This window comes from Homo sapiens, chromosome 21, assembly GCF_000001405.40.
Source record: "Homo sapiens chromosome 21, GRCh38.p14 Primary Assembly".
Classification (NCBI taxonomy): Eukaryota; Metazoa; Chordata; class Mammalia; order Primates; family Hominidae; genus Homo; species Homo sapiens.
The window spans coordinates 41,729,149-41,739,117 of NC_000021.9; the positions used below are offsets into that span (position 1 = coordinate 41,729,149).

The window sequence follows — 9,969 nt, forward strand, 5'->3', positions numbered from 1 at the left end:
TTGCCTCTGTTTCGCAGCCATATTGCTGTTTAATTTATTCAGGGAGAATTCACATAGCATAAAACTGAGCACTCTAAAGTGAGCAATCCCTGGCACTTAGTGCACTCACAGTGTCATACAACCAGCCTCACCCTCTAGCTCCAAAACACCCCTTCTCACCCGAGTAAAACCCTGGCCCCATGAAACAGTGTCTCCCCAGCCCTTACAGCCACCAGTCTGTCTCTGTGGATTCACTTGTTCTGATATAAAATGGGTGGTACCATATGTGGCCTCTCCACCTGCCATCTTTCACTCAGCACCGTGTTTGAAGGGTGTATCCACATGGTAGCCCGTATCAGAACTTCATTCCTTTTTATGGCTGAATAATATCCCATTGTAGGGGGAGACCACATTTTGTGAGTCCATTGATCTGTGGATGGGCATGGGGGCTATTTCCTCTTTCGGTCCTGTGGATAGTGCTGCTATGCAAATACACAGGTGTACATGTAGTCATTGGAGTCCCAATTCTTTGTACCATCAACAGTTTTTCATCGTTTATAAAACATTAGATCTGTAGAATGTCTACCTCAACCTCCCTCCGTTTCCAGGCATGACTTGACCAAGGGCACAGAGGGTCAGGAATGGCAGGGGCAGGCCTTGGACCAGGTCTTCTGACCACATCCTCCACTGCCACGAGGATGAAGGTCCCCGTGGAAGGAAACGGAGGGTGTGACCCACTCGCCTTAGCAGGTTAGGCAACACCCACCGGGCCAGGCCGCAGGCAGTGCTGTTGAAGGCGGGGCCCCATCGCCTCCCACCACCCACTAAGGTCACAGGAGGCAGCCAGGCTTGCCCACACATGGGGGCAGCTAGAGGAAACCTGGTTAGGGCTTCAGAGAGGGGTCAAGGTTGAAGCCATCTGAGGGGTCAGAGGCAGGAGGCAAAGGGGCCTCTGCTTCCTTCAGCGGCGAATCCAGAGTCTGGGTGCATGGAGGCGAGCAAGAGGAACAGGCTCGTTAGAGAAGCCCCACCCAGTTACTCAGCACCTGGTAAACATCGATTATTCCCACTCCGGGCTAAAGGAAAGAGAAGGAAAATTCCCTGGTAATGCCACCTCCCCAAGCAGCCACCATGAGCCTTTGAGGGTTTGTGTGCATGGAAAGAGAAATCTGGTGTGGATGATTGTACGTCAGTGGATCAGCTCTAAATCAATGGAGCGGGTTTTATGGTATCCCCTTGGTTTCACATCAACTAGGAGGTCACTTGTGCACCTGGGACATCACCTTTTCTCCTCCATGAAAGCTGTGAAATTCTCAACACCTAGTCCAGCAGCTGGCATGTAGGGGGTATAGAAAAAATGCTTGTTGTAGGAACTAATGCTGAAACCCAAAGCGGCCCTCGTAGAAAGTAAAAGCAGATGCCCTTGATGCCTGTCATTCTAGGATCCCTCGGAGAGAAGGCACGCCCACCACTTCCCCACACCTCCCCCAGCCCCTGGCTCACTCATGTTCTGAGCCCTTTTGGACTCTCCTGCCGGCAAAAACAAGTTTAGGCAGCATTTTCGCCTCTGTCCTGTTAATATCTCAGTGGATATCTTAACTACAGAATAGACATAACCTCATTATAACAAATTAACTCAACTCAGCAACTAGAAGGGACAGTTCCCGTTTAAAGGTAACTAATGCTGAATATACCACAAAGAGATAGAAGATGGATACATGAACAGGAAGTTGAGATTTGACGGACAAAATTAAAAGGAGTTCTAGATTGAAAATCACTTTCCTTAGAATGTTGACAGCATTGTTCTCTTGCCTTCAAGCTTCCGTTTTTATTGTCTGTGTCTCACCAAATCAGTAAATGCACACAGTGCAAAAAGTGAAAAACTCCGGGCAAGAAAACACAACGCATGAAGCCCTGCTCTCCCACCTGCTCATCCCCTAAATCCAGGTCTCACACCGCAGGCAGTCACACTCCAGTCTTGCAGCACTTTCTTCCAGTATTCTCCCCATCACATGCTTACACTGATGTTTGTTTGAATTTTTGTTTAAGATTTTATGTATTTATTCCCAACTAGGGAAGATGAAGATTTAGGGCTTTCATAACAGCCCCAGCCACACCCACAGCCACCCTATAGAGTTATGTCATCATTTACAATGAAATCAAAATCCACTGTTTGTACATCATTATGATTCAATGTGATTCCACCCAACCCAGGCCTGCTCATTTGGCTGGATGTTGAGTTCTAGCTTGGAGGAGGCATTCTTTGCTGCCAGTTGCATGGACTAAACATGAAAACATTCCTACCGTACAGCTAGAAGTGTTGGATAAAATGTGAGACTCCTTTTAAATAACTAGCTAAACATACAAGAAGAAAGGAGACAAAATCTCCAGGGGCCAAAAGAAGAGGGAAATAAAGCCTGAATAGTGAACATCGGCTGGGCTTAGATTGACTTGGGGATTGCATTAATATTGGCACCCAGGGACCTGGAGTTGAACACTCCAGAGACAGAAGATAAGCTCAGGGGCCCAAGTGAGGCAGGATATTATAAGCAAAATCCTTGAAGGGCCACCCTGAGAGGAAATATTTACCCACCAGCAGAGGAAGATGACCTGAAAGCATATCTATCTCAGTCCATGCCAGGAGAAAAAAAAAAAGAGAAGAGAAGAGAAAGAGAGGAGAGGAGAAGGGAATGCCTCTTAAGAGCTTGTAATGATGGGTCTGTCTTGTTCAGGTTTTGGATTTGAATTTATACTCCCTGCATAGTCCAGGACCCACAGAGCCACAGAATTAGCACAAAAATGATCACAGGCTGGCAAGACAACTGAGAGTCTTGCAAACACAAAATCTCTCAGTAAAGACAGCTTCAGCTCAAGCACAAAAGATTCTCACAGATAGAGTCCTACTGAAAATGAACTCACAATCCAAAATTATAAATCACACAAGGAAACAATCCACCAGCAGACCCAACAATCAGAGGAATTGGATCCCTAAGAACCCTAGGTAATAGGATTATCAGATGATGGCTTTTAACAGGTATGTTTACAATGATTACAGATATAAAACAAGGAAATGAGCACAAGATGCTACCAAGAAAACAAGGCAGATTCAGAAAGAATGGAGTAGAACATTGGGAAATGGAAAGTATAGTGAGTGAAATAAAAATCTCAGTGGATATCTTAACTATAGAATAGATATAACCTCATTATAACAAAGTTAGCTCAACTCAGCAACTAGAATGAGCAGTTCCCATTTAAAGGTAACTTATGCAGAATATAGCACAACAGATAGAAAAATGGAAATATGAACAGGAAGTTGAGATTTGAAGGACAAAATTGAAAGTTCTAAATTGAAAATCACTTTCCTTAAAATGTTGACAGCATTGTTCTCTTGCCTTCAAGCTTCCCTTTCTGTTGTCTAGAAGTCTGACGCATCTGATATCTGATTTAGCATCTTCTTGCACTCCACCTGAAAGCATTTAGGATCACCTCTCCAGCTCCATCCTAGAGTCACCTCCCCATCCCTGTCCTGGCATCACCACCCCATCCCCAACCTGGCATCCTTCCATGCTGGGCTTGCAATGGCTATTCTCCTAGCCATCACTCTAAGCACTTGCTGAGCCCTCTTTATGTGAGATTCCTGTACTTTAGTTTGGAAACATTTTCTTCTTTTTCTTTTTTTGAAACTCCTATTATTGGGATGATGGGCCTCCTGGAATAATTCTCTAATTTTCTTTCCTTTCCTCTCCTATGTTCCACTTCTTTGTCTATTTGTTCTTCTTTCTCTGATAAATTCTTTGCTTTGCTTTCTTAGACTTATTTTCCACTTTTGAGAGTTTTATTTTTCTCATCACATTAAAAAAATTTCATTTCTGTTCTCTAAATATTTACACACACACACACACACACACACACACTCCTGAGCCGGTGTTCATTAAAATGTATGTTCTGAGACATTATAGATTTTGAAAAAGTCTTCTTCTGATCCATACTTTGTTTTCTCTGCTTTTTTAATCTGCTTGTTGGATTGGTTAGGATGGTCGTGTCTTTGTCTTTCACGTTAGGGCTTTCTTTGTTCTAGTGGGATCTCTGTTCGTTTTTCAGATGTCAGTTAGCAACAGATATTTGGAAGCTCTGTGTGTGTGGGAGAGCTTATCACTGGGTGACTGTCACTGCAGCATGATGGAGGGAACTTCTAAATGTCAGGTCTGCAGATCTTTTCCTGCTTGGAGGTGCTGAGAGAAGGGAGAGAGCCTGGAGGGGTGGAGGTGGGGTGCAGGTCACGTCTTAAGTACATAGAGTCTACCCGATTTCCTCCTGCTGAGTTGCTTCCCCCAGCCCCACTCTGGATATGCCTGGAGTTGTGGGGTTCAGGCACATCTGGTTCAAACTTGTCCTGTCTGCTGATGGAGTGGAGAGTGGGAGGCCATCTGGGTGTCTACCTGCTCCTGGTGAGGGCGCTCAGGTAGTCCTCTTCTGTCCCACTCTTCTCTCTGTCCTTCAGAGTCTGGTGCCTCCACCCCTAAAGATTGACATTATTGTTGGTAGATTGAATGGACGTAACATTATTCTGTCTAATGAGTATACATTTTCTAAATGCTTGTTTAGCTCATTGTGGTCTAGGAACAAATGGTTTTCAGAGCCACACGGCCCACAGACAGACTCACCACCTCCCGATGTGGTCTCCACCAGGCCAGTGGCTGGCCTATAAGTGACAACATCCAGCCACAGCCTCATTAGGGCACCAGGTGGGCTTGTCAGGTCGCACACCTTGGCTGATCGGCAAATGAAGGGAAACGCCAGCACATCTCCGTCCACCATTATCGTGAGAGGGCACTTTCCAGCTCTTCTTTGGGGACACATCCCTCCGCACCTTCCCTCCCTTCCTCCTCCTCCATGCACCCCTTCCCGTTCACCGTGAAGAGACCAGCTGGGCTGGCTCCTCAGCAGACCCCTCCTCAGGAGGTCTGGTCTGGCTTCACTGAGCCCACAAAGGTGATGGGTTTGGCTGTGTGCCAGCACGCGGCCATGCCCTCCCCTGGTCTCCAGCATCATCCCACTTATAAAGAGTCATTCCTTGAAGGCAAAGATGGGGTCCCACATCACCCAGTGTCCTTCCCCGCACCAGCCAAGGTCACCCTCGAAGAGCAAGTTCTTCCCCACAGCCACCAGGAAAGATGGAAAGGAAAAGGAGAGGCTCTGCCTGAGTTCCACAGCCCAGGAGGAGGCCACCCTGTCCTTTCTCCTGGAGCAAGGGCAGCCTCCCCACCGGCCCCACCTGCAGAGCTGCCGGGTGCCACCTCCCTGAGTCTAGTTTTTCCAGTAGCACCACTGGGACCAGGAAGTGATGTAAGGAGGAAGGAAGACACCTCAGGGAGGCCAGCTTCCTCTGGGTTGCCTCAGAGGGGCTGAGGTTGCTGAAACCTCCAGGCTCCATTCCAAGGGGTGAGGTCCGCCCAAACATGACAACGTAAAGGGAGGTCCTCCCCGACCCTCAAGTCCCACTCTCTGGGGCCAGCCCTGCTCACGCTTTGGGGAGCACCTTTCTGAAGAGCTCCACACAGCTGTACATTGATACTGTCGAGTTTACATCGTGTTGTGCAGAGAAATGAGAAGTCGAGAATTCATCCTGCTCCACCGGCTTCCTCACCTTCTCTTGCATTTTCTTTTTAATCTAGCATCCAATGCATTTTTTTTTTTAATTTAAGCTTCCTTCCTTTGTGTGCTAACATTTTACATGTAGATCCTAGCACATTTCTTTAGGCAAGGAAACAGACCCTTTGTTGAGCACCGTCATCGTGGCCACTGCAGTTGCCTGGGAGGCTCCGGAAGGTTTTTTGACTCCTGAAGCCAGCTGAGGCAGCCACCTGAGCAAGGGGGTTGTTCATCCCAGGGCTCACCCTCATTCAGGGCCATGACCTTTTCTAGTAAGTGTGCACTCTCTTAGGTCCCACCCTGTGTCACCCGGACTCTCTTGGAGTTCGGTATGTGGAGATGACTTTCTTCCTCACTCTGGATGCAATTTGGGAACTACACCGAGGATTGTGGCCAGGGGCTCTTCCCTCACCTCTGACGGATCCAGTAGGTGGTCCCAGATTCTCACTCTGACCCACCCACTATGACTTCAAAGCTGCTGTGCACAGTTACCACTGCTGGGCAGACCTTCCAGAATCTTCCAGAACATCCCATGATTCAGAGGGAAGACACCCTGGATGAGGGAGTCCTCCATTTTTCCGAGCAAATGCACGTGTTCTACACACAACTCCAGGTCATTCTCCAGTGGTACCTGAGCCCTCCATAGGGCCCCTGTGAGGGATCCTGGGTGGGGACTTCTGTGACTGTGACAGCTGGCCTCTGGGCCACCTTTTCCAGAAACAGCATTCCTGATTCTCCCTTGGGAAACCATCACCTCCACATTCAGGGTGGCGTCTGCCAGCCTGGCCCAGCCCGGGCTGTGGGAACACTCCCTCCCCGGGCTGACATGCTTGGTTTTGAGGATGGGCGCAACCTGCTGTGGGGCCACCACACTGCATCCACTCTGAGACGCCATGAATTCTAATCCTAAATGTACCATTGTCCTGATCACCTCCAAAATAGGAAAAAATGCTGCCAATGACAATTGTAAGAGGCCATTGACTCCCTCATAGCTGTTAGAATGCAGAAAAAATAGCATCTAAGGAACTACGAATGATTTTTAATCTGGGGCTTGGGAAAGGGGAACTATTGGGAGAAAGAAGTTCTCTTTGCACTGAGATCCTCAGGCCATTTAACCTTGGAGACAAGAAGACAGGGATATATTTTGCAAAGGACTTGCCCATTACTAAAGGTGACACAGGGGAAAGGAGACACTAAACATCTGGATCCAGCCATTTCTGACACTGGATTTCATGAAGCAGTACTTCTTCTTCTTCTTCTTCTTCTTCTTCTTCTTCTTATTATTATTATTATTATTATTATTATTATTAATATTTGTCTGCAGGGCCTAAAGCAGTGACTAGCACCATTCCTGGAACAGACTGGCCACCTGGTGCCTCCTTACTCTGCAGTAAACATTGGTGCCGCTGCCCTCCTGAACATCAAAGTCCGTGGACAGGTGCAGAGAAGGCCAGAGCCCAGGCACCTGAGAACAGGGCCCCGTTGCCTTGTGCAGTGGAGTTCTGAACTCCTGACCTCATGCAACAATTAGTTATGAAAGAAGGGAGAAGCAGGGATTGGGAGAAGAAAGGGAAGAAAGAAGGACAAAATGAGGGAGGGAGGAAAATTTGTTCAGGGTTGATAGTCTAAGATGTCAACCTGGCATCCAAAATGTCAGCTTTGGGGCAGGGATTCCGTCCTCCAAATGTCACCTTGTGCCAGTGCCTGCCCCTCCCTCTGCAGTGCCAGTAGGAGGCCTTCACACACTACACCCACTCTTTTGAAATGAACAGACCAGCTAACCTTGGCACTGTGGATGATCCTGGTAAACAAAGTCCCCTGAGTACTGGGGTCAGTCAGGTTCAAGGGCCTGGGAGAAGATGGCAACTCCTGGTTCAATAGCCTGGGAGTGGAGCACTCTGGGTAAACCAGTTGTTTGCCAAGGAAGCCCTCAGGTACACAGGTCCCTCTGCTGTCAGGCGTCCTGGTGAAGCACCAAGAGGTTGACTGGCCACTGCCCTCCACTCAAGAGGGACTTCAGAAGAACCCTGAAGTGAGGCCCAAAATGTCCTAAGATTTGTAGGACAGTGTACTGAAACCACAGATCCAGAAGACATGCCAATCATGGGTCAGGTGTTCCCCATCTGCTCTCTGAGAGTGTGGCTTCAGGTGTGGGTCTAGGTTGAGTGCTGACAATGAAATCTTGGTGCATCTGAGCCCAGCAGGCTGTTTCTGACTTGGCTGGAGCTGAGGATGGAGGAGCACGGGAAGAAAGTATCCCAAGGACAGTTTTCTGAGCCAGTGTCATGGAGGTGTGAATGAAGCGGGGCAGAGCGGGAAACCCGGGCGGAGTGCTCCACTACTCCTCTTTGGCTGGTCCCTGAACTGGATATCCTGGTCAGTAATGAGGGGATGTTTGGCCCCATACCCCCCGGTCCTGACCTCATCCCCTGGCCACTGGGAGGGCTGCAGTGAGCTAGATGGTCTGGGGGCCTGGATGTCAGGGCATGCGGACCTGTCTTGCACCTTGGTTTGCTCCAGCCGGGGAGAACCACTTTTCTTCTAGAACCTACCATCTCCACATCTCACAGCTGATGAAGGCAGGCTGGAATCATCTCTCTGACATTGCTCAGGGCTGGGGTTCTGGAGGGAATAGCCAGGGGTGTACTAAAAGACCCTTGGCCCCAGAACAACTGCAGAGCATGTGAAGCATAAGACCCACTTTTGTTTCCTCCCAGGAACAAAGGGGCAGACTTTTCCTAAAGTGGAGGATATAAAAATGCATTCAATCCTCAAACCAGAAGATGCTCCTGAACGAAAAAACACAGAATAGAGATCAGAGGGGAAGGAAAATGCCTGAATTTTCTGAGAAATTAAGAAGAAAAATGGGAGGCTTGTTAAATTATCACTATTTCAAGACAGGCAAGGAAATAATGTAGGTTCCTAAATGAAAAAAAAAAAGTTAAGCTAAATGATAGTCTTAGTAAGAAACAGTTCCTAGGCATTGCTACCTAGCATAAAAATCTTTAAGGGTGAGTCACCATTCTGCAGGGCCAGGGAGACCCACTGACAGGGTCACTAGGCACGGCGCAGCCAAGAAGGCCACCAGTGTTGTCAGGGAGATCATCACACACCAAGATTGACCTCGTGTGTGTGTTGAGGATGATGGGAATGGCTCCCACAGCCAGAGAAAGGAGATACAAATACAGACCAGCAAGAGTGACCCCTGGGATGCTGGGCTGTAACCGAAGGCATGGATGTGAAATCATAGTTTCTAGTAAGACACAGAAACGTGTATGTGATATTCACATAGGTTGCATGCAGCTTCCTACGTCTGTCTGCTGAGGGCCTAGAAGCAATGACAGCCCAGTAACAATGAGCACCTCCAGCACCCACATCTTGGCGTCTAAGAACCATTCTCCACTCAGAGAAACGGTTTCCTTGGAGAAATGGCTTCTTCCAAGGCTGGGGAAATAAGTACAAGGTGGGCCTGGAACTGTGTCAGAAAGCAAGGAATCACTCAGAGAAAGATGGGAGGTGAGGGGGCACAGGAGCCTGCGTAGAGGTGCCCAAACCGGCCAAATCAGGGCTAACCTGACCATCAAAATAATCAGAATATCCCATCAATTAAACAGGGATCCAAGACTGCATATTGATGTAAATAAACAAAAGTGGGAGGGGAAAAAGCCCTCCTTGGTACACAGTATCATGTCTGTGGTATTTCTGCCAAAAATGCGTAACCTAAACCATATCTTGAGGAAAATTAGATAAACCTAAACTGAGGACATTCCACCAAATAACTGGCCATACTTCCCAAAAGGTCTGAATGAACCCATGAAGGAGCTCCATGTCATAAGTTAATTCAAAGTCAGAAAAGAGAAGACTGAGGAACTGACGATTGATAAAAACGGAAGCCACATGGCTATTGAACACCATGGGGTCCCAGGCCAGAGAGTGAAAAAAAAAAGAGGTGCTGCTTGCGTGTTTTTCAACTTTCTTCTTCTATAAAGGACAGTTTTGAGACAATCAGCAAAATTTGAAGAGAATTTGCAGATTTGATGGTAATATCCTACCAATGTTAATTTCCTGAATGTGATGGGTAAATTGTGGGTGATGCAGGAGAAACTCTTGTTTTTAGGAAATGTACAGGCAAGTATTTAGGAGTAACAGGGCACACTGTCTGCAACCTACTCTCGAACAGGTAGGTAGGTGGATGAGAAAGGCAAATACAATCAAATATAAGCAAACAGGGAATCTAGCTGAAGGGTTACCAGAGTTCTATGTACTACTCCTGTCACTTTTCTGTAATCTGAAATTATTTCAAAATACAGAACGTAAGAACTATAACATTTCAATAAA

At 47.5% G+C, this 9,969-nt stretch overlaps 1 annotated feature.

The window, feature by feature from the left end:
- Positions 5,229-5,728: an enhancer, noted in NCBI's record as "H3K4me1 hESC enhancer chr21:43154537-43155036 (GRCh37/hg19 assembly coordinates)". NCBI's record gives its function as "activates a minimal SCP1, AML or CMV promoter by ChIP-STARR-seq in primed H9 embryonic stem cells {active_cell/tissue: H9 hESC(primed)}" and the evidence as "EXISTENCE:reporter gene assay evidence [ECO:0000049][PMID:30033119]".